The sequence below is a fragment of the Homo sapiens genome, chromosome 18, assembly GCF_000001405.40.
Source record: "Homo sapiens chromosome 18, GRCh38.p14 Primary Assembly".
NCBI classification, from domain to species: domain Eukaryota; kingdom Metazoa; phylum Chordata; class Mammalia; order Primates; family Hominidae; genus Homo; species Homo sapiens.
This window is the reverse complement of record NC_000018.10, coordinates 3,876,524-3,900,867: the sequence shown is the minus strand read 5'-3', so window position 1 is coordinate 3,900,867 and position 24,344 is coordinate 3,876,524. Positions and strand designations below refer to the sequence as shown.

General features: G+C 42.2%; 1 protein-coding gene, 2 long non-coding RNA genes, 1 other non-coding gene and 1 pseudogene across 14 annotated transcripts in view; 2 read left to right on the top strand and 3 right to left on the bottom strand.

Moving 5' to 3' along the window:
• DLGAP1 (DLG associated protein 1) overlaps positions 1-24,344 on the top strand; it is a 959,276-nt gene that overhangs the window by 554,440 nt on the left and 380,492 nt on the right. For all 11 annotated transcript variants that reach the window (NM_001398527.1, NM_001398526.1, NM_004746.4 and 8 more), the window contains one exon: positions 20,728-21,756. In NM_001398527.1, coding sequence (NP_001385456.1) covers positions 20,800-21,756 — 957 coding nt within the window. In that variant the 5' untranslated portion in view covers positions 20,728-20,799. The remainder of the gene's footprint in view (positions 1-20,727; positions 21,757-24,344) is intronic.
• DLGAP1-AS3 (DLGAP1 antisense RNA 3) lies at positions 3,799-22,688 on the bottom strand. The gene is made up of 3 exons (NR_038895.1): positions 22,577-22,688; positions 4,865-5,097; positions 3,799-4,711 (listed from the first exon to the last, which is right to left on the bottom strand). It is a non-coding gene; the product is annotated as a DLGAP1 antisense RNA 3 (long non-coding RNA).
• RNU6-831P (RNA, U6 small nuclear 831, pseudogene) lies at positions 6,063-6,169 on the top strand (annotated as a pseudogene).
• LOC124904238 (uncharacterized) lies at positions 13,571-23,043 on the bottom strand. The gene is made up of 4 exons (XR_007066270.1): positions 22,756-23,043; positions 22,461-22,536; positions 14,949-15,075; positions 13,571-14,084 (listed from the first exon to the last, which is right to left on the bottom strand). It is a non-coding gene; the product is annotated as an uncharacterized LOC124904238 (long non-coding RNA).
• MIR6718 (microRNA 6718) lies at positions 15,436-15,515 on the bottom strand. Its single transcript, NR_106776.1, has one exon. It is a non-coding gene; the product is annotated as a microRNA 6718 (primary transcript).

The following is a 24,344-nucleotide window of genomic DNA, read 5'->3' as shown; positions in this document are numbered from 1 at the left end:
ACCATTTCTAAATATCTTTCTCCTTGTCCTTTTTGTTATCAGTACCCGAAACCAAATAAGGAATATCCAAAGGCGGGATTCTGTTACATCAAACTCCCACATTGAAGAAAATAGCTTTCTGAGGCCAAATTCTTTTTTTCCTCTAACCAACCCAATCTAATCTAACACAATCATGTGTGATTCCTCCTGCATCCCAAGGGCATAATGTTCCTCTTTTACAAGTCTTGGAGTATCCATTTATTTATGAGATACAAAAATGAGCCCACAAGCTGATAGGCTTTCTTCCACTCCTTTTGTTTTATTCATTCAGGGTTTACTGAGCGCTCACTCTGTGCCTGGCATTGGGGTAGTTGCTGAGCAAACAAGTCTGACTGTTAAAGAATTCTCGTTAGGAGGGAAGACAGAATAATGTGCAAATAACTACTCAGTAGTGAAGCAAATGTTTAAAAGGTGCTAAAGTGTTATTTCCAAAGGACCTGGTGCCCAGAAATACAGACATCTGTGCTGGAAAGTGGAGAGATAGTTGGGGGTCCTGAGGAGGGAGCTGATGAGAAACAACAATGTCGGTATCAGGGCAGACAGAATTGTCATCAGTTACCTCAAACTTCCAGTAACTCACAGGAGAGACACGCTGTGTTGCCAATATCAGATTCCCTTTCCACATCCCCTGTTCAATTATTTTATAAGCTTTGGGGTACAGAGTACATTTCTTCGGTACAGTCCTCCATTACTTATGGGTCCAGTCTTACAGCTTATCTACCTGCCACTGGATTCCAATCCTTTTTGCAGAGTTCATATTTGTACTTATAAACATTTGTCTCCACAATTTATTTCTTCAGGATTTTTTGTTTGTTTGTTTTTGGTTTTGTTTTTTGTTTTTTGTTTTTGCATATATGCCATGATGCAGAGCCATTCCCAGGGTCTAAACAAAAATCAACCTTGATAAAAAGTTTAAGTTACCTAATTCTAACAGGACACAGGATGTTGATCATGTTTTTAAAAAGGTGAAGTAGCAGCCAGCTATACGCCAAGGATCTTAGCAGGAAAACTTGCAATTTATAGCGCTGATTTTTCCTACCAAGCTTCCCCAGAGGAGAAAAACAGAGGGAGAGGGAGAAAAAGAACAATACATTTCTAAGCTCACACTGGCGGAAAGTGGGATAGTAAGAGAAGATGGCTTCCTTCTGGTTAAAGATGCTATGGTAGAAGGAAACTAGACAGAAATTCAAAGCAATGGGAAGGACATTTTCTGAAATTGGACCAAACCTGGATACAGAGTGTAAGGAGAATAAGAAAGCAATAGCAGCCCGAATTTTGAATCTCATTCCCTAAGTAAACATCCAAAAGGTTTCCTCAAATATGAAGTTAATGATTTTCCTGCAAGCAACATCCTTTTAACATTCTTGCTGTTGCCCAAAGCCACTTCTCTGACTTACACAGGTACCACTCATTCTGGCCACAGGCACTCTTGCCAGCGCCAGTTGATCATACTCAGATCTGGTCTGCTGGAATATAGGCTGCTTGTTTATTTGTCTGGGAGATGAAACTTATAACCATACTTCAGTGGAGTTTTTTCCTGACACAGATTTGGGTAAAGGAAGCAAACCCCTTCAGCAGTCAGAGGAAAAGCTGCCATGGGCGGAGGTTGCTAGACAAACACCTGTCAATGCAGACTGCCCATAGGATGCCACCCAGTGAAGTGTTCATTGTGGGCTCATTTCCCCCTCCTTATTTCTTTCACTTGACTTGCAGGTCTTTGCTCATAAGTGTAGTGTAGGATGCCTCCCTGAATGAAGTGAATTGCCTCCCACCCTGTGCCAACATAAGCAGATGGTGAGAAGTGGCCATACGGAAATTGAAAGCTGCAGGTTAAGCTGAGAGGTGTGAGCATTTTGTATGGAGAAGTTCATCATTTCCTCCAAATTGCTAGAATCCTTTACTTTACTTTACTTTACTTTAAATGGCCTATCTAAAGTGTAGATGATGTATGTAGTCAGCCTATGTACATGTCTCTGGAATATATATGGCTTCCATGGTTTCAATTATTGTCTTATTGGAGAATAATAATAATAATAGATGAATAACTTTATTTCTAGTTCATGTTGGAAAGCGTGATTTTTCTCTGGTGTCTTCTTATTATGCTTATGTTAAGGTATATTCAAGTTAAAGGACATTGCCTAACTGCACATCAGTGATAGCAAAGCAACAGATTTGCTGCACCACACAAGGTCAGCTTGCCACCCCCATCCCCAGCTGTGCTGTATGCAATTTATGCAGCCATATGCTGCAACCTTGGTAACATCCCATCACTGTGTTGAGTGACAAAAGGTAACATTTGTCATTGACAGTGTAGTGGTGCCTAAACTGTGAGCTCTGGAGTCTGACTTCCTGGATTAACTACAAGTAAATTATTTAACTTTCCCATACCTCATTTTCCTCCTCTGGGAAATGAAGATAATAAGAGTACCTGCTTCATAGGGCTGCTGTGATAATTAAGTGGGATAATACATATAAGATGCCTAGGACAGGGTTTACCACAGAGACATATCCATTTTTCTAATATTTTCTGGAACATATTGCTGGTCAAGCATCTCAAATACAAAAATCCAAAATCAAAAATGCTGTAGAATCCAAAGCTTTTTGAGCACCAACATGAAACTCAAAGAAAATTCTCATTGGAGCATTTTGGATTTTGGCATTTCAGATTTGGGATGCTCAACCAGTAAATAAAGTAAATTGCAAATGTTCCAAAACATGAAAAAAATCAGAAATTCGGCCGGGCGCAGTGGCTCACGCCTGTAATCCCAGCACTTTGGGAGGCCAAGGCGGGCGGATCACGAGGTCAGGAGATCGAGACCATCCTGGCTAACAAGGTGAAACCCCGTCTCTACTAAAAATACAAAAAATTAGCCGGGCGCGGTGGCGGGCGCCTGTAGTCCCAGCTACTCGGGAGGCTGAGGCAGGAGAATGGCGTGAACCCGGGAAGCGGAGCTTGCAGTGAGCCGAGATTGCGCCACTGCAGTCCGCAGTCCGGCCTGGGCGACAGAGCGAGACTCCGTCTCAAAAAAAAAAAAAAAAAAAAAAAAAAATCAGAAATTCGAAACACTTCTGGGTCCCAGGCATTTTGGATAAGGGGTACTCAACCTGTAATGAGTGCAAATTTTACTATACTTCCTCTTTGATAAATAAGCCAATGTTTTTGTAAAACTTTCAGTGCCTCCAAGTCAGCAAAGAGTTTATAAAAGATTGCTTACAGAAGGCAGTTAATATGTCATCACCTAAGACATGATACCATCATCAACATTTTATACACAATATATTTGTTTATTGTCTGTCTCCCAACACAAGAATATAATTGTCATGAAGCCATGGACTTTTGGAATTGTGTTCATTACTGGACCCCTGTTCCTAGAACTGTACCTGTCATTTAGTAGATGTTGAATAAATATTTGTTGGGAAAAAAAATACATGAATGTTAGCTCTTTTACTAGCTTTTGTGGATAACTGAGAAGTTATTTTCTGCATTGGCTCCCTTCTATATCAAGGTTAAAATTATTCACATTGTATCTACAGGTCTTGGTAGTGGAGAGAAAAGCTTGTGAGTAGCTACGGCCTTGAGCTTAGCAGCATTCCTCGGCCAACATTTTTGGCTTTGTAGGGGCAGAAATGTGTGATATCTTTCCTCACCTATCATAACGGTCACTCCTATAACAAAAGACAGGTTAACAAGAGAAAAGCATAATGAAGGTAATCAAAGTTTTATGTAACATGGGACTCCTCAGAAATGAAGATCCAAAGACCCAGGGAAAACTTTTTTTATTCTTCGGTTTGATGAAGAATGGACAGCGGTGTAGAAATGTGATGGACTAAAGGGTGTGATCTAATGCTGATAGACTGAGCAGGGAACCCAGCAAGGCCTGAATGTTCAAATTCTTCTTAACCTCTTTGTGTAACCCTCCTGAATATGGGGCAGGGCCCCTCTGGAATGAGGGTCTTCAAGGGAGAAGGGGGAAGGCAGAGAGTGACCTTTCTAGGTTTCACGGCTTCCCTTGGAGGAGAGGGGTTCTAGTTTCTGTGACACACCTTGGGAAAGAGGAATTATGGTTGCCATGACTCACTTCAAGGGAGAAAGACAGGTAGGAGACAGGAGGCTGGGAGAAGGTCAAAGAGACATAGCTTCTGAGACATTTCCGATGTCCTTCAGTCCACAGTACTCAGCACACCAAGGTGCCATACTTTGGGGTACCATGTTCTGAGTCTTGACAGCTTGTACAAAGCTGCTGAGTTATGAACATGATCTCAGGGCCACTGATCCATACCTGATGGTATGCATTCCCAGAGGGCAGCTTGCTGGTTAGCTTCTTAAACATCAAATGTTTAAGCTGGATGAGTCTTCTTGTATTAAAACGAGACAATATGATGAAATATGGTAGTATTATCCTTTTTGTATATTCATCTTTTCTTTTAGCAGCTAAATCTTTCTTCAAAAGAATGTCTAAAAGACGGTGGAGATGCATTGATTGACGGTGGTCTCTGCTGTGATGTTCCTGGCAGCCTAGCGTCTCTTGGTGCTTAGCAGGAAAGCTATTGAGGAGCAGGAATAGCATGTGCTTTAAGTCTTACAGACCTCAGTTGAAGTCCTAGCTTAGCTGCCTACTAGTTGTGCCCTGTGGGCAAGTTATTTAACTTCCATGAACCTCAGTTTCTTCATCTGTGAAAAGGGAAGAAACCATGTCACACTTGCAAGCATGAGAAGGAGCATATATCAAGTTTTCAGCACATACATGTAATAAGCCCATTAATAAAGCAAAGCTTGTATTTTTTCTAGATTCAAAAATACTAGTTAGATAATTCTGTAGCTTACCGAGTGGCGTTGTTGCTCACTACAGAAAGAGAAAAAATCTTCCCTCCTGGCAAGAGTGGATTAGCAGCCTGGTTCTACCCAAAATGTCCTTGTCTTCAGTGACATACCGAGAATTTGGCGTGGACTTTTCAACAACAGTTTCTTCAATCGTTGCCATTGTAGTTCAGGAGCCTCTAACTGTGGAGGAGGTTGAAGAAGGACAAATGAGCCCCAGGACAGATGCGGCCTGTGTGCTGCGGATGAAACAGCAAAGCAGGCTTTAGCAGTCTTCATTAACTGCTGGTCCAATACTTCCCCATCAGCACAGTGGCTCTGCTCTGTACGGTGCTGGCACCAACAATGCGTTATTCCCAGTACAAAAATAGTCATTTTACTTATAAATTGTCACACTTTTCCCATGAAAATATCTTGTTTACCGAGCAGGAAAATTCCCATTCATGTATTTATTTGGCTAACATTTATCGAATGCATCTATGCGTTGGGACATCCAGCTGATTCTGATGCAAACTCGAGTTTGAGAACCATTGTCACAGTCAATGGATGATATCAAGTGAGGGAAAAAGCATATTGACATATTTTACATAATACAGAGGTATCTGGATGTAGATTTGCTACCTCTACTACAATTTGTTTCCACGAGAGATTAAAGTGGTTTATGAGATGATGATGATGATGATGATGATGTGTGTGTGTGTGTGTGTGTGTGTGTGTGTGTGTGTGTGTAATAAACATCCAAGGGAAATACAATGATAGTAGGATAAAAATGGAAAAGTACTAAAACCATCATGATTTTGCCATAGCTTTTCCTGATAACCTTCCTGGTATTCAAGCTGGTGGAGCACGCACTGCTCGAAGTGGAAACATACTCATCTTACAAGAGTAATAGCACCTGCACGATTAAAGGCAGCTGTTAAGCACACAGTTTTGTTAATACTGACACCTGAGAGGAATTTACCACATGGCACTGCACTCTTTGCTGAGACAGGCAACATCTCGACAGTAAAAACCATAGCAAGTATAAATGCCTATTTCGTATAGTTCCCTTACATAAGCTAGTGGCTTAACATCTAAGAGCAGTTGAAAGGGACAAACAAGGAGGTCAACTCTGTAGCTCTCAGACAATCTGGCCAACATCTGAATAGTATCATCAAAGATCATATCAGAGGTAGAAATGGAAGGCCTTGAAAAAGTAAGAGGAGTACTCACTTCAGCAACACATATGCTAAACTGGGAATGACACAGAGAAGATTAGCATGGCCCCTGCACAAGGATGACATGCAAATTCATGAAGCATTCCATATTTTTAATCCGAAAATTCATACAGAATCAAAAAAGAGCCTAAACTGCCAAAGCAATACTAAGCAAAAAGAACAAAGCTACAGGCATCATATTACCCGACTTCAAATTATACTACAAGGCTATAGTAACCAAAATAGCAAGATACTAGCATAAAAATAGATCAATGGAACAAAAAACAAAACCCAGAAACAACTGATCTTTGACAAAGTAAACAAAAACATACACTGGGGAAAGGATACCCTATTCCATAAATGGTGCTAAGAAAATTGGATAGTCATGTGCAGAATGAAAACTAGACCCCTATTTCTCACTGTATACAAAAATTAACTCAAGATGGCTTAAAGGCTTACATGTTAGACCTGAGAGAATAAAAATTCTAGAAGAAAATCTAAGAAAAACTTCTGGATGTTGGCCTAGGCAAAGAATTCATGACTAAGACCTCAAAGACATAAATGCAACAAAAACAAAAAATAAACAAATGGGATTTCAATTAAATTAAAAAGCTTCTGTACAGCAAAAGAAATACTCAGACCACTTACAGAATGGGAGGAAATATTTGCAAATTATGCAACTGACAAAGGACTAATAACCAGAATATACAAGGAACTCAAGCAACTCAACAATTTCAGAAACCAAATAACCCCATTAAAGAGTGAGCAAAGGACATGAACAGATATTTTTCAAAAGAAGACATATAAGTAGCCAATAAACATATGAAAGAATGCTCAACATCACTAATCATCAGAAAAATGCAAATTAAAACCACAAGGAGATACCATCTTACACCAGTCAAAATGGCTATCATTAAAAAATCAAAAAATAACAGACGTTGGCAAGGATATGGAGAAATGAGAAAATGTCTATACACTTTTGGTGGGAATGTAAATTAGTATAACCTCTATGAAAAACATATGGAGAGTTCTCAAAGTACTAAAAGTAGAACTACCATTTGATCCAGCAATCCCACTACTGGGTGTCTACCTAAAGAAAAAGATACCTGCACTCATGTTTATTGCAGCACTATTCAGAATTGCAAAGTCATGGAGTCAACCTGTGTTCACCAATAGATGATTGAATTGTTCTTATTATTATTATTATTATTATTATTATTATTATTATTATTTTGAGATTGAGTTTTGCTCTTGTCGCCCAGGCTGGAGTGCAGTGGTGCAATCTCGGCTCACTGCAACCTCCACCTCCCAGGTTCAAGCGATTCTCCTACCTCAGCCTCCTGAGTAGCTGGAATTACAAGCACCCATCACCAGGCCCAGCTAATTTTTGTATTTTTTTAGTAGAAAGGGGATTTCACCATGTTGGCCAGGCTGGTCTCGAACTCCTGACCTCAGGTGATCCACCCGCCTCAGCCTCCCAAAGCGCTGGAATTACAGGCATGAGCCACCACACCCGGCCAATGATTGCATTTTTAAATGTGGTATATATACACCATGGCATACTGCTTAGCCATAAAAATGAGTGAAGCCATGTCTTTTGCAGCAACATAGATGGATCTGGAGGCCATTATCTTAAGTGAAATAACTCAGAAAAAGAAAGTTAAATACCACATGTTCTCCCTTAGGAGATAAATAATGTGTACACGTGGACATAAAGAATGGAATAATAGACATTGGAGACTCAGAAGCATGGGAGGGTGGTGAGGGATGAGAAATTACTTAATAGGTACAATGTACACTTTTTGGGGGATGGCTACACTAAAAGCCCAGCCTTTACTTCTACACAATGTAACAAAACTGCACTTGTATCCCCTAAACCTATAAAAAATTATATATATAAATATATATATTTATATATATTTATAATTCTTTATATATATAAAAAGCCAGAGGAGAAAGTGGTTAGATTTGAACAAAATATGGAACAGGAATTGCACACTGTCCTAAAAACCTTGTCTTTGAAGAATGTGCTGCTCTGAGCCAGCTACACCTCCTAAATTGAGATGTTTTCACACTCCTTAACTCTTGCATCTTCCAGACTTCTTTTTTCCAAAGGCTTTCACTTGGTGCATTATATATGCGACATGTACCATACAATCTAGCACTTGATTAGATTCTGACTTGTATTGTTTGCTGATTGTTCACGTTTATGTGATTTATTTTCTCAACTAGATCGTAAATTAGATGAAGCCTATCATCTCCATGATTCCTTTAGTCAGGGAATATTTTAAGAAGGAGGCTATATTTGTACCTACTCTTCAAGAAGGGATAAGAATTTGTATAGAGAATGGAAGTGAGTATTTTAGAGAGCATGAAACACAGAGTCAATGGGGAATGTGGCATGTGGGGAAGAATACAAGGAGCCCAGTGTCACTGGAGCTGAGCTGTGTGGGGTATGGGGTGGGGAGACAGGGCTGTCTGGCAGATGGACGCCGGGTCAGGGAGCCTCCCACCTTGAGTCACATTCAAAGGCTTAGATTATATTGAAAAAGTGTAGAGGGTCTGAGAAGAATTTAAAGTGAAAGAATGGCATAATCAGGTAACAAAGATCATATTACAAATAATACTCTTAGCAGTATGAAAGACTGTGTGTGTGTGTGTGTGTGTGTGTGTGTGTGTGTGTGTGTGTGTGTGTGTGTTTTAGAGGTGATAAGAACAGTCATTATGGCCTAGTGATTAAGAACATGCTGTGTTCAAAATTTAGTAACAATGGCTGGATACGGTGGCTCATGCAGGTGATCCCAGCACCTTGGGAGGTTGAAATAGGAGAACTGCTTGAGGCCAGGAGCTCGAGACCAGCCTGGGCAGCATAGTGAGACCCCCCATCTCTACAAAAAAATGAAAAAAATTGTCCAGGCATGGTGGCACATTCCTGTAGTCCTAGCTGTGCAGGAGGATTCCTTAAGCCCACGAGTTCCAGGTTACAGTGAGCTATAATCCTGGGCATCAGAGTGAGATCTTCTCTCTAAAAAAAAATTTAAAAATTACTAAATATATTATCTCAGACAAGTTATTTCCTCTTTAAAAGTCTGTTTTCTTATCCAGAGACTAGTCCGTACCATATTGGGTTGTTTGAGATTAAAATGAGATCATGCATTTAAAGTGGACAACACGTGCCTGGTATATAGTTATGATTCCTAGAGGCAGAGACCATTCCATTTTTATTCACTTGATATTTATTGGTTACTACTTTGTTTTCCCAACCAAGTCTAGATGAGAAATAAGGAGTAGACTTGAGGGCTTAGGGCAGCTGGAACAGAACCAGGAGACCCATGATACTATTCCTAATCAGCTTTGGGAGTAGAGCCAAGAGTGGACACCGGGAATTTGCCATGGCACCAGTCCCATCCCCAGCGACACTCAGCAGCCTCTGTGTGGAAAGACAGAAGGACAGTAGCATCAGTCCTTGATGTATATTGTCCACAGTGAGTGAGGTAGAAGGATCATAGAGCAAGGGACCTGAGGGGGCTAACAAAAAAAGTTTGACCTGCTGTCTCTCCTAGGCTGGCAAGGGAGGAAGTGAAGACCACTAGGGATGGATGGAATGGGAGAAGAGGGCAGAGCTGAGGAAACAGTGTATGGAATAAACTGTCATGAGAACCATCAGAGGGCAGGAAAAGTGGGAGCAAGAGAACAAGAAAACTTATGAGACAGGAAGTTGAAGGTGTAATGTTAAGAATCTTCAATTCTTGCTACAGTGCCCAGTGCACTGCATGTAATAATAGCTATTCAATAAATAGTTGTTGAATTAAAGTCATATGTATTGATTTGATTTGACTTCATGCTCAGTACAGTCAAAGACTATTTGGCTGATAACTTACAGGCCAACACTCTTATCTGCCAAAACTTAATCCAGAAATAAGCTGGCGCAGTGGTGCACATCTGTAATTCCAGCACTTTGGGAGGCTGAGATGAGAGGATTGCTTGCGCCCAGGAGTTCAAGTCTGCAGTGAGCCATGATTATGCCAATGCACTCCACCTTGGGTGATACAGCAAGACCCTGTCCCTAAAAAAATAAAATGTAATACAAACAAAAATACTTTAATCCAGAAACAATGAATGCCATCATACTTCCTTCTCTATCACAGCAAAAAATATTTCAGAAAGTTGACTGGATGTGGATTTGTTTGTTTAAAATTTAAGACTGGGGGTAGAATTCTAAAAGACAATAAAAACCAGTTCCAAAATGAAAAAAGTTAAAAGGGTCAGATTGCTAGATGTGTGAAGAGTCAGAATAAGGCACTTTAAAAATGATGGGAAGACAGAAGCAGAAGGAAGGGGCAGTGTTTGAGGAATTACAAATCTAATTCCCATTAACAGCAACTATTGCAGAGGTCAGGGCAGGCCAAACTCACTGAAGGAAAAATACTCTGTAAGGTTTCAAAAACAGCCGATTGCAGAGATTGTCCTTCTCACTTCTTACATGGTATCTGACCACCCCTCTCTCATGCAGGCACTGATGATAGTTTTCAAAAAGTGAATGTATAATCTGAATTAGCATGCATAATGTATCCAAGCCAATAAATACTTAAATGGGTATAAAGCTGTATGAGGATAACTTAGCCAATTCTGTTGGGGCCACTTCAGAGACTGACTCACATTGGCCCCACTTGGATGTAGACCACAGTGGTGGAGGTTCTGTATGCTTGCAGTTACCCACTGGGCAGGAGGGTCCCCTTTACTTGGATGAGTAAGCTTTTGTGGGCCTGCCTTGGTTCTGCTGCAGATGACCACAGAGTCTCACCCTCTGGGCAGGGAGCCAGGCCTGACTAGACCTACAAGGCCATTAGGCAGCTTCTGTCTGTTTCTTTCGCTGGGGTTCCATGGACTCTGGACTGGCTCCTCTCTTCCCTCCACACACACTCCCTCTGTAGGGCCCATGGCTAACGCTGCCCCACAGTTCAATAGCATCAACTCTGGCTTCCAGTGGGGCCGACATGGGCCCTTCCTTTACTTGACCTTGAAGCTTACCAGAGTCCAGTGATTCTAGGAACATCCCCACCTAGATTTCCCAAAGTGAGCATCTCATTAGCTCAGTGAAGGCTCTGCATGGATGCCCCTGAGTCCAGTCTTCCATAAGCTCAGAAAATGTGGTGATCACCTTCAACAGTCCTGGCCACAGGGTCACCAGGAGATGCTGTGAGTAGGGAAGAAATTCCCAAAAGCAGGTGTCAGCTGAACAGCTACCACAAAAGGGCTTAATGTCTGCACTTTTGGGGTCTCAGCACTAAGGAAAGTAGATTTGTACAGCAAACTTGGTAAGAAGAGCAACAGCTTTTAAAGAAAGAGACTTTATAAGAGAAAATTTGATTCAGGTAAATATATATATATATATGCATGTATGTATATATAAAATCTGGCTGTGAAACAAGTTGTATAGAATATGCCAGAACATGTTCACAAGACTACTCAGCTAGTCATGAGCAATCTAGACAAAAATAACTTGGTTTCATCAGAGGCTATTTCCACTGCTCCTTTTCAAGTTGTATTGTCATATTGTTTTGATTGTCATTGTTTTTGTGTTTTTCCATCTTCCATCACGGCTGTCTTTAGGTACCATTAAACAGGTTTATTCTGTCATCATTTCTTCTTTCTCCTAGATTCATCAGTAGTTTGCAAGTTTTTCCCAACTTTTTTTGGAGTAAACGCTGATGGGTTTTTCTCTTCTCTGTGAATATTCTACCCCCATCAATTGTACCCGCATAAGACAGGCTGTCCCCCTGCTGCAGCACCTCCTGAAGGGCACTGTCCATGGCTGGTTAAGGTAACCACATTCTCCTAGCTGGCTCCCAAGGGAATTCATCTGTCCATTTAGCCGAGATAACCAACCCTCTCCTGAAAATCCAGATAAGAACAATTCCATAGGAAGCATATCTCCGAGGTCCCATAGAGTCAGCACAGGCATATTTGAACTCTGTCAGTCCAAAATAAGATTAGGAGATTTTATCGTTTACTGCCTGGATTATCTTCACATAAAAATCACTCCTAAATCCTATGACATTTTGCTCAACCACCAATATCAATAATGACCTATTAATCATTTTTCAAAGAACACTACCTTCCACCTTTTTATTCTCAAAAACTGTTATGAAACCACTTTTTAAAAGCTTTGTATGGAGATGCAGGTGATTGTAATTGTGCTGCCTACTGTGACCAAATTGGAGAAGATTTCAGTTGAGTCGTTGGTTTTTTTTTTTTTAACAATACCATATCTTTTGAAAAGGAAATGCCTCCGAAGGCATTTATTTGTAGGAGCAGACTGATTGACAGAGGTATTCACAGACGAAATCAAACTGCAGATGATTAGGACAGCAATTAATGTTAATGAAAAGCCAAAATACATTCTGCATCTATAAAATGGCTCAGCATTGTACTTTGAGTAATATAATTGGTATATTTCAGAATGTGCTTATTCAAAGGTGTTCTAATAGTACTTGTATAATTTTAAGCACACAACGCATGAAAATCTTCAAGTAAGGAAGCCTGGAAAAGTGAAAGAACATGACATTGAGTTATCATCTTCAGGTACAATTTCAAAAGGTCAGAAAATATCCAAACAGTGGGCATTTGGACAATGTTAACTCACATTCTCACCTCTGTTAAGTTTTCTGTTTACTTCTTTTTTTTTTTTTTTTTTTTTTTTTTTGAGATGGAGTCTCACTCTGTTGTCCAGGCTGCAGTGCAGTGGCGCGATCTCGGCTCACTGCAAGCTCCGCCTCCCGGGTTCACGCCATTCTCCTGCCTCAGCCTCCCAAGTAGCTGGGACTACAGGCGCCCGCCACCACGCCTGGCTAATTTTTTGTATTTTTAGTAGAGACGGGGTTTGACCATGTTAGCCAGGATGGTCTCGATCACCTGACCTCATGATCCGCCCACCTCGGCCTCCCAAAGTGCTGGGATCACAGGCATGAGCCACTGCCCCCGGCCGTTTTCTGTTTACTTTTACGCAAAAGTGCCATGGTTTCATTTTTTAGTAGTAAGAACCATTTTCTTATTTTAAAAAGTAATAATTTAAAATCATCAGCCTGTTGGGCATTCATCATTCTCAATCTCTGTAGAATTGGGATTTATTATAAGTAAACGGGAAAATTAATTTTGTTCTGTCTAAAAAAAAATGTCATGTATGTGTTCAGACTGTGGTTGGAGCATGCATGTGTGAGCAAGGAGGTCTGAATCAGGAGACACTGCCGTAGCTGGCCAGGACATTGTCCTCCTCTCTTGGTATACTCCTTCTTTTCTTCCAGTCTTCTCTCATAAACTGCTCTTGCAAGAAATCATTGCTTCTTTGAGATCTTTTTGCCCCTCCCCACTCCCACATGTATTCTCTAACTACAGCTAGAGAAATCTTTAGCACAAGTGTGACCATGCCACTGTCTTGTTTAAATTCCTCTAATGGATTACCACCACCTGCAAATACAGTGCTGCATCCTGACATAGCTTCACCAAGGGTCTCATGATTTTGCCCTGACTACCTGTCTCACTTAGGAACAGGTGCAGGTGCAAGGTTCAGTACACAAAATTACAGAAAGCAAAATAACCGCGAGCTATTTTGTCTCCTCTCTCCACACAGACTCCCTCTGCAGAGCCCTTGGCTAAAGTTGTCACGTGGTTCAATAGCAAGGGACTCTGGCTTCCTATGGGGCCAGCGCAGGCCCTTCCTTTACTTGATAAGATAAGGAAACAAGATAAAGGTCTATTTTTCTCTCGACTAAACAAAATGCAGAGGTGCACATCCAGGGCGGATATGGCACTCCGCTGTAGGTCAGAACCTTTATCTTTTGTTTCTCTAATCCTCAAACTGTAACTTCCACCTCATGGGAAAGATCACTATTCACCCAGCCCCCACAGCTGCGTTCCAGCCAGAGAAGGGGTAAAGAAGCGTATGCCCCTCACTTTAGAGATGTTTTCCAGAAATCACACATGCCGTTTCAAGTTATGTTCCATTGGCCAGCATAGTCACCCAGGCACATCTAGGGAGAATGGAAAATGTAGTCATTGTTCAGGGCTGCTTGTACTTTTCAACAAGAAAATCTTTTCTTTCTCTTTAGTGGTATGTTATAACCTGGCATGGACAAGCTTCTGGCAGGTGGAGGGATGCCAAAAAGTTGACTTGAGAGATAGAGAGTTAGAAGGATGATCATTTAGAGGCTGGGAAGGGTAGTTGAGAGGTGTTGCTAAGGTGGGAGAGTGAGGATGATTAATGGGTACAAAAAAAATAGATGCAAGTCCGAATGAATGATAAGATCTAGTATTTGATAGCACAATAGGGTGACTATAGTCAATAATAATCTAATCGCACTTTTAAAAATAACTATAAGAGTATAATTGCATTGTTTGTAACAAAAAGGATAAATATTTGACGTGATGGATATTCCATTTACCTTGATGTGATTATTAAACATTATATGCCTGTATCAAAATATCTCATGTACCCCAGAAATATATACATGACTAGGTACCCACAAAAATTCAAAAAAGAAATTTTTAGGACAGCTTGACCCTGAAAAGATTCATGGAGATTTCCTCTTCCTGATGTCTCCTCAAACAAGAACACAGTGCCCCTGTTCTCCTGGGCAGGGTCCACCACTTTCTTTCTAAAGTAAGTCGCAATTGCCTGCCTGTCCATCCTCATGGGGTAAGACAGAGGAGGGCCTTCAGTATGCTCTTATTTCTGCATGTAAAGAAAAATCAAGAAAAGCAGCTCTAAATAAAGACATGCACAAAAATCAAAATGGAATAAGGACTTGCCAGCTTTGCAAGACTATTTCCCCTTTGTCAGCATCTTCTAATATGTGGTGTGTTTGTGTTTTCCTTGGGTCTAATAAATTACCTACCTTGAAAATTTCCTTTACAGTGCTGGATTATTCTTGTTTTGGTCATCATCTGGACAGTGATAATTCTGCTCCAGGTGTTGGAACTCTGGAAAAACTGTGCATCTCACACTCTGAGCTTGTCTCATGGCTGCAAACAGAGTCAACAAATTATCCAAGCAAAAAAATCAGGAGACATGGTACAATGGTAAAATTGAACTTAGAAGGACAATAAAACAGAATGTTGAAGTCACAGCGAACAAGAAGAAATTAGAGCTAATCACTGGTAGTCACAGAAACCCTCATGAAGACATGCTGACCACAGTCCCCATCCTTGCTCAAAGAACAAGGCCTGAAAGGCAATTTCCCTCTCTATTTCCAGCAATTGTTATCATTACTTAAAATCTAATTGAGAGGCTAGCATCCTCTTTTTTCAAGAATGCATAGAAGAATGAGAATTGTTATTTATCTCTTTTCATGTTTTTTTGTGGCTAGGTCATGAAGTGCATACATTGAATCCCTAGTGGCCAAAAGGCTTATGACATGGCTCTCACAATATATCATAAGCCCTCTGACCACTAGGGATTCACTGTAGGCATTTGGTCGTCTTTGCAGCAGCAGGCAAGGAAGCTTTCTAATGATGCTCTTGGTCACACCACAGGTGGCAGCAAGTGGTACCCATGGATACAACTTATAAACATTAATTAGGAGAGGGGGGAAAAAAGAAGTGACAGAGATAAATGTGCTGGAAAGGGAGTTTAAGAGTAAGGCAAGAGGAAAATGAAGAATGAGAGAAGGAAGAGCAGGACCTCCATAGTAGGTGCCACCAGCAATTGTCTACCCATTGCCAATGGCCTTAGGATTTTAGATCATTTGCCCTTGCTCACCAAGAAGTCACAGAATGTGTTTTCTTTTATAATCACAAATTGACCTATTTTCATTTTAAAATGACAAGACGATAGAAGAGAGTGTAAGATTTGTTACAGAAAGGGCCATGGTATTAAGTTGTTTATTTGGCCTTGACCAGAAAGATAGATTTAGCATTTAGAAATGTTTATTGCCATTTTTTATGACCTTCTTTTCCCACATCATAGAGAAAAAAGATCAAGATCTCAATATCTCTTTTACAAATACAAGTAAGGAAGGAGGAATGTTAGCTTATTTATTCTGGATGCAATTTGTTACCCTCCAAGAAAATAGAGGTGCTTGTCCTGTGCTGAAAATAGCCCAGTTAAATTTTAGTAAAAAACACACTGTGTATGATTAATTTACAGAAATTATCATTGGTTACATCATTTAACTTAAATCATCATTAGTGGCCTTAAACAGCTCTTCGTTTGCTCTGCTTGTCCTCAGGTAACGTCATCTTGCATGGAATGTTGCTCACATATTAAAGATAATTAAATACTGAATACCTGATTAAAATAATCTTGTATATTTTGGAGTAAACATGTATAATTCATGTTTTCAGCTCTTGCCAGTTTCACATTTTATTTAGCAGAAAATATCTACCCAAGATTCAAACTGCTTGAGAAGGAAAGTTCGAAACATTATTCCACATCATTTTATATATTGAGATTCTACTATATGTGATCATAAAAGTTAGTATGTGTCTATAATCCTAATAGAATCTTGTTTTTGCTTTTTATAAGTCTGTATTTGAAAGGCAAAAATGTCCTCAGTGGAACCTGATTTGTAGAGAGAGACTTTCTTATGCAATGGATTTTTGCATCTAAGTTAGTTTGTGCCACAGTTTTGCTAAAAACACATACTTAACCCTCTTACATTCTTCCTTGCCACAGCCTACTTTTAGGACCATAACTTCATACAAAGCAATCCCAAGGTTTTCTGTTTCATTAGTCTGTCACCAGTGGACACGTTTTTTACCTATCGGTTCTTCCTTATCCACAGGTATCATAAGTCCTGAATTCCTTTTTTGTCCCTTCAAGAGTCAGTTTCTCTCTCTCTTCCAGGCGGATTGCCCTCTGTCTAAGCATCCTGTAGTCAGCAGGTTAGGCAAACTCCCCAGACTTTACTTCCAGACAGGTAGAACGGCAGAAGGTACGATATTGCCCAGTGAGTTGCAGAGTTAGAAGTCAAAGGTATATAGGTCAGAAGGAGTGTTCACCAGTCTGCTTCCTGCCTTGCTCTGAAGACTGGTCTTTGGAATGGTCACCCTGATGGAATGGTCCCCCCAACTATTGGGCATCTTTCCTTGGCCTTGCCCAGCCTGGCCTTTGCCACACAGTCATGTTTTCATTAAACAGATGCTACTTGAATCACACTATGAACCACTTTGGGAAATTTTGCATTAATGCATTAAGTAATTGAGTAAATATTCTACTAACTTAATTCCCACTATCCACTAGGATAGCACTTTGCCAAATACTAGGTGGGTGAAACATAGTCCCTACCCTTAAGGACGTCACAATTTAGTAGACTAACAAATTTTGAGTGACTGTACTGATTAAAACCTTTCATCATTATTCCTGAATGGTCAATCCAGAAACTGGGAGACAGGAGGAAGAAAGGAGCTTCACAAAGCATGGATAGAGATTGCCAACATTGTCATGAGCGCTCCCAGATGCAGTATGTCTCATGGAATAGACAAGACCTGGCCTCTCAAAAATCTTTTTTCATGAGGTCCAGTGTGGGTGTTTTATATGTTTGTTTGTTTTTGTTTGTTTGTTTGTTTGTTTTGAGATGGAATCTTGCTCTGTCACCCAGGTTGGAGTGCAGTGGCACGATCTCGGCTTGCCGCAACCTCCGCCTCCTGGATTCAAGCAATTCTCCTGCCTCAGCCTCCCAAGTAGCTGATATTACAGGCTCCCGCCACCATGCCCAGCTAATTTTTGTATTTTTAGTAGAGACGAGGTTTCACCATGTTGGCTAGACTGGTCTTGAACTCCTGACTTCAGGTGATTCGCCTGCCTCGGCCCCCCAAAGTGCTAGGATTACAGGCGTGAGCCACCGCACCCAGCACTATATGTTTTGTTTCTTAATTAAACCACATATCTATCTCTCTAGGAATATCTGAAATGACATTAGTGATATTTTAGAGAGTCATGTTGGCTTTCCAAGATGACTCTTTATATGGCAATTTTTGTATTGTAGGAAGTCTTGAAAGAAAATCAGGCTGTCAGAAGGAACTTGGTCAGGCACTGACTCTAACACTGTTTTGGAGTCCAGAGAAAATACTCTGCCCTGATGGAATAGCAGCCTCTGTTAGTTACTAAAACTCCGGAAGATCCGAGCTTGGAAATGGACTGAGATACCCTACATGGGATATGAATGAGTGACTTTTCCCTGAGGCTGAGCTATTAGGTCTGGGGTCCTTCACTCATGTCCTCAAGAACTTTTCAAGGGCCATCCTTTGGTCATTTTGCCATCGGCTATTAACTTTTTTTTTTTTTTTTTGAGACAGGGTCTCATTCTGTCACCCAGGCTGAAGTATAGCGGTGCATTCACAACTCATTGCAACCTCAACCTCCTGGGCTCAAGCAATCCTCTCCCCACTTGAGTAGCTGGGACTACAGGCATGCACCACCACTCCCAGCTAATTTTTTTTTTTTTAAAGACTGGGTCCCACTATGTTTCCCAGCTTGTCTCAAACTCCTGGGTTCAAGCGATTCTCCAACCTTGGCCTCCCAAAGTGCTGGGATTACAGGCGTCAGCCACCACGCCTGGTCTTGTGCGTAAATACTCAACCAGAAACCTTAAACTAGGAAGAAGAGATATATGATCCTCAAATTAGCCTAGTCAAGCTTAACTTGTTCTCTGTTTGTTTAGAGAAAGCTCTTGACCCTCAATTGACAGAAATACCTGGGCAGATTTTCTCTACATTTATGATTTATTTGCCATATCTTTACTTTTTCCCACTCTGAGTAACCTGGGGGGATTGTTTGTGTGGTGAAGTTGTTCCTACAGAATTCAAAAAGGAAAACATGCAACAGAAGACAGAGATATCCTAAAGATACGAGGTGCCATTGGCTTCTATTATTCATCTTAGTGTTTGTTTGTTTGTTCTGAGACAGACGGAGTCTTGCTCTGTTGCCCAGGCTGGAGTGCAGTGGCACGATCTCGGCTCACTGCAAGCTCCGCCTCCCGGGTTTATGCCATTCTCCTGCCTCAGCCTCCCGAGTAGCTGGGACTACAGGCGCCTGCCACCATGCCTGGCTAATTTTTTGTATTTTTAGAAGAGACGGGGTTTCACCGTGTTAGCCAGGATGGTCTCGATCTCCTGACCTCGTGATCCACCTGCCTCGGCCTCCCAAAGTGCTGGGATTACAGGAGTGAGCCACCGCGCCCGGCTCATCTTGTTTTTTAACTCACATTTTCATTCACACTTATGGAGTGCTATTACTGTGTGCTTACATGGCTGGATCGACACTAGGTCGGGGTACATAATGAGACTAATAGACTGGGAGGCAAGGAACATAAGCCGGAAGAGAGATCCTGAAGCAAGCAACTCTGTAGGTTCTGGGGAGTGAGTTTCAGATGTGGTGGAAACACAAGAGAGGAACTAATTCTCTCTGCTAGGAGAGCCAGCAGAGGTTTCCTAGAGGAACTGAGCCCCTCTCCAGTTCTATCTTTAACAATTAACATGTAGAGACTAGCCTGACCAACATGGTGAAACCTCATAAATACAAAAATTAGCCAGCCATGGTGGCAGGCACCTGTAATCCCAGCTACTCTGAAGGCTGGGGCAGGGGAATCACTTGAACCCGGGAGAGAGAGGTTGCAGTGAGCCGAGATCGTGCCATTGCACTGCAGCCTGGGCAACAGAGCAAAAACTCCATCTCACAAAAAAAAGAAAAAGAAAAGAAAAAGAAAAAAAAGAATAAGACCCAAGAAGCAAGAGAACGATACATCCAGTTATTGGGGTCATAGAGGGAAGGAGAGTTATTGTTTCAAATAATTTAAAAACAATTTGGTTTTTTTTTAAATATAGTTTTCTTTTCCTAGTTTTCTTTTTCTTTTTTTTTTTTTTTTTTTTTTTCTGAGATGGAGTCTGGCTCTGTCCCCCAGGCTGGAGTGCAGTGGTGCCATCTCTGCTCACTGCAAGCTCCGCCTCCCAGGTTCAAGCAATTCTCCTGCCTCAGCCTCCCGAATAGCTGGGATTACAGGCACCCACCACCACGCCCAGCTAATTTTTGTATTTTTAGTAGAGACAGGGTTTCACCATGTTGGCCAGGCTGGTCTCAAACTCCTGACCTCAGGTGATCCGCCCTCCTTGGCCCCCCAAAGTGCTGGGATTACAGGCGTGAGCCACCGCGCCCGGCCTCCTTTTTCTAGTTTTCTAGCTTTACCTCCACCTTCTCTCCCTACAGGCTTTGGAGTCAGCTTTCCTGCCCCACAGAGGTGACAGAGCTCTTCCAATAATGCGTTCAAGCTGTTTTAGGGGACACTGATTAAGTTCTGCCAAAAAAACACGGTCGCAGATGGCACCCTCAAGAGATCAATACCAGGCCTGCAGGGTTGCTCACGCCTGTAATCCCAGCACTTAAGGGAGGCCAAAGTGGGAGGACAGCTTGAGCCCAGGAGTTCGAGACCAAGCCTGGGCAATATAGTGAGACCTCCTCTCTACAAAAAATTAGCCAAGCGTGGTGGGGCCTGCCTGTAGTCCTAGCTACTCGGGAGGCTGGTGTGGAAGGATGGCTTGAGCCCAGGATGTGGAGGCTGCAGGAAGCAGAGATGGCGCCTGTGCACTCTAGCCTGGGCAACAGAGCAAGACCCTGTAAAGTGCAATACCTAATTTCCAAGAGAAATGTTAACGACTTTGCCCTTTTCTTCATTCCCCCAGATCCCTGCCCAAGACGGGTCTGGAGCCTGACTTCCGGGTGTCCATGACCCTGGCGGCTGCTTCCGGTCCGCCATGAAAGGGCTATCAGGCAGCCGCAGCCATCACCACGGGGTCACCTGCGACTCGGCCTGTGACTCGCTGTCGCACCACTCCGACCGCAAGCCCTACCTGCTGAGCCCAGTGGAGCACCACCCCGCAGACCACCCATACTACACCCAGCGGAACTCCTTCCAGGCTGAGTGCGTGGGCCCCTTCAGCGACCCGCTGGCCAGCAGCACCTTCCCCCGCAGGCACTACACCTCGCAGCAAGAGCTGAAGGACGAGTGTGCCCTGGTGCCCCGCACCCTGGCCACCAAGGCGAACCGCATCCCCGCCAACCTGCTGGACCAGTTCGAGCGGCAGCTGCCACTCAGCCGCGATGGCTATCACACCCTGCAGTACAAGCGCACGGCCGTGGAGCACCGCAGCGACAGCCCCGGCCGCATCCGCCACCTGGTGCACTCGGTCCAGAAGCTCTTCACCAAGTCGCACTCCCTGGAGGGGCCGTCCAAGGGCAGCGTCAACGGGGGCAAGGCCAGCCCTGACGAGGCGCAGGCGGCGCGCTATGGCAAACGCAGCAAGAGCAAGGAGCGGCGCGCGGAGCCCAAGGCCCGGCCCAGCACCTCCCCGGGCTGGTGGAGCTCGGACGACAACCTGGATGGTGACATGTGCATCTACCACGCCCCCTCGGGCGTGATGACCATGGGCAGGTGCCCCGACCGCTCGGCCTCACAGTACTTCCTGGAGGCCTACAACACCATCAGCGAGCAGGCGGTGAAGGCCTCCCGGAGCAACAACGACGTCAAGTGCTCCACCTGCGCCAACCTGCCGGTCAGCCTGGACACCCCGCTGCTGAAGAAGAGCGCCTGGTCCTCCACGCTCACCGTGAGCCGGGCCCGGGAGGTTTACCAGAAGGCCTCGGTGAACATGGACCAGGCCATGGTGAAGTCCGAGTCGTGTCAGCAAGAACGCTCCTGCCAGTACCTGCAGGTACCATTTCTGTCAATGATGGAGGCTTAGAAGTAGTACCTGGCATGCTTGTGTGGGCATTTCTCCTGGTTCTAGTCTTGGCACTACTCTGAATTGTCTATTAAGATAGGAACCTGTGCAAATTATTCGGCATCTCTGTGCCGAATTGCTCCTGTAGGGAAAATGAAAAGAAACAAATGCTACCGACCTCACCGGGTTATCTTAAGACACTAGATATCCAAGTGCTTTGAAAAGCACGCCTATGGAAAGGCAACCAGTTATTATGGGCTTCCTCTTTTGTCTGAGGGATCATAGGATGGGAAAGAGAGGAAAGGGAAGTCTACAGAGAATTTTAAAAGAAGTCCACCTTTCTTTAATTCAAAAATACGTGACGATCGTTTGAATTTTGGAAAGAGTTTCATTAGATCTATTCAGGGTTTTGTGGGGTGGTTTTCATTGTGAAATCCTGCCTGAAGCTATGTTAGAATACTGCGATGGTCATCATCATAACCATCAGTAACTACACCCCGACCTGAGCTTCCACATCGAGGGCACAGCAAATCAGGAAGACGCCCTGTGCCCTGAGGAGGTGGGGAGCTAGCCAGTTTGGGGACCTGACAAGCACAGCTGCAGACACCCAGGACAACAGAGAGGAGGAGGAAAAGGAGGAAGGATTAGAGAAGTAAAATACAATTAGTGTCAGCATGTAAATCCCACACACTTACAGAGCCACGGTAGGCTGCTCTTCCCCTGCCACTGTCTCCTTGTGTTTTCCTCCAGTTCACTGAAACCAGATGTTACCTGGATAAAAATATAGGAGAGAGATGTTTTTCTTCCCTACCTCCTTGCTGTAGTATTGTAATTTTTCCCAAGGCACATTTTTCCATAAGAACTCTCATCTTTTCCTTTTTCAGAGTGTCTTTTCTTCTCTGTTCTCTCCTGGTAGCCTCATCTTAAAAAAAAAAAAAAATTACTGAGCTATAAAAGTATAACATACCCACTCCCATTTTACACTCCCACCTTAAGAAGAAATGCAAAGAAAAATTCTTCCTTTGAGGAGTTCATCTTTTTTGCTCCCTTTGAACTCCTCCTGACAAGTCTGGCTCCCTTGGGAATGCCTCCATCAATCCCTGAGAAGACCCCAAGCTGGCAATCCCTGGACAAGGGCAGTGCCAGAGCCTGTTCTTGGAGTTCAGAAGAAGCCACCAGCACATGGACAGTTTTCATACACGACACACAATTATGTGGTCAGTACTTCCCACTGAAGCTGGTGTTGCCTAATTTCCTGTAAGGTTGCTACATGTTAATAAGTTATCAAGAACTATAACAATTTCAGAGCTCAAAGAATCATTTAATCCACTTAGCATATGAAAAAGTAGACACAAAGAAAGGTAAATACTTAGTGGGTTAAACCGTTAGCATGTGGCAGAGGTGGGACTAGAACCCAGTCTCTTAACTTAGAGAAATGGCCATTAATGAAAGTTGCAACCGAAAGCTCTAGAAACTCTTTAAGAACATAAAGCTTCACCCACCACTGAAAGTAAAGTATTTCGATAAGGATATCTGTCTTACAAAAAGTAAGGAGTAAAGAGATAAAAGCCCTAGAGTACCACACATTTTGTCTGCGAAGGTTCTATGACCAGTGGCAAAAACAAAACAAACTGAAAGGAAACAAAAACAAAAACAAAAACACCTGTACTTAAGTAAGTAATGATGAGATTAGATGAGAAGTATCAGAGTAAAGGATGCTGTGTATGGATCTAGCATAAGCCTTTGTTAGTAATGAAATGTTTTCGTTATATCTGCCTATATGCCTACATTCTTCCTTCCTTAGGTTCATTTTTCTTTCTTTTTTATACCTTTTTGGAGTTGCGATCTCAGGTAGTGGTGAAAAGTGGAAAGATAAGGAAAGTGATATTAATTGAAAATCTACTATATACCAGATGCTATAGCAAATGTGTTCCCATTTCTTATTTCATTTAATCTTTGTGATAATCCCAAGATTACTGAATGTAATAATATTCTATTTTTATAAGAGAAGAAACTGACACTTAGAAATATCAAGTCATTTAAAGCCCCACAATCTGGAGGTTGTACAACTGAGATTTAGGCTCAAGTATGTTTGATGCCAAAACCAAGCTCTTTCTAATATGCCCTAGCACAGACCTGAAATCAAGGGCATCAAAAATGGTGAGCAAGAAGAAAATAAAAATCTTTAAAATAAGCATATTATTATTAAAGTTTTTCAGTAAAATGAGAATGAAATCTTAAAGGCTTAAGTATGGGATTTAGTAGTAGCATTATTGGATCTCCTACTATAAAGATTTGGAAATTCTATTTTCAAACTATTTGCCTTCTTTAAGTCATTTTTGTAATGAAACGTTTGAGGCTTACAGAAAGGTATAAAGAAAAAAAATAAAACACCCATGTATACATCACCCGTCATACAGAACTAAAACATTCATTACAATGGATCACAGACACACTCATATTAATCCCTTTACTTCCCTTCTTCCCCAGAGTAATAGCTCATCTGTCTTTGACACCAAAGCACCTTTGTTTTCAATTCTGAAATTATTGAAAGGTTGAAAACAGTTTAACATATTCTG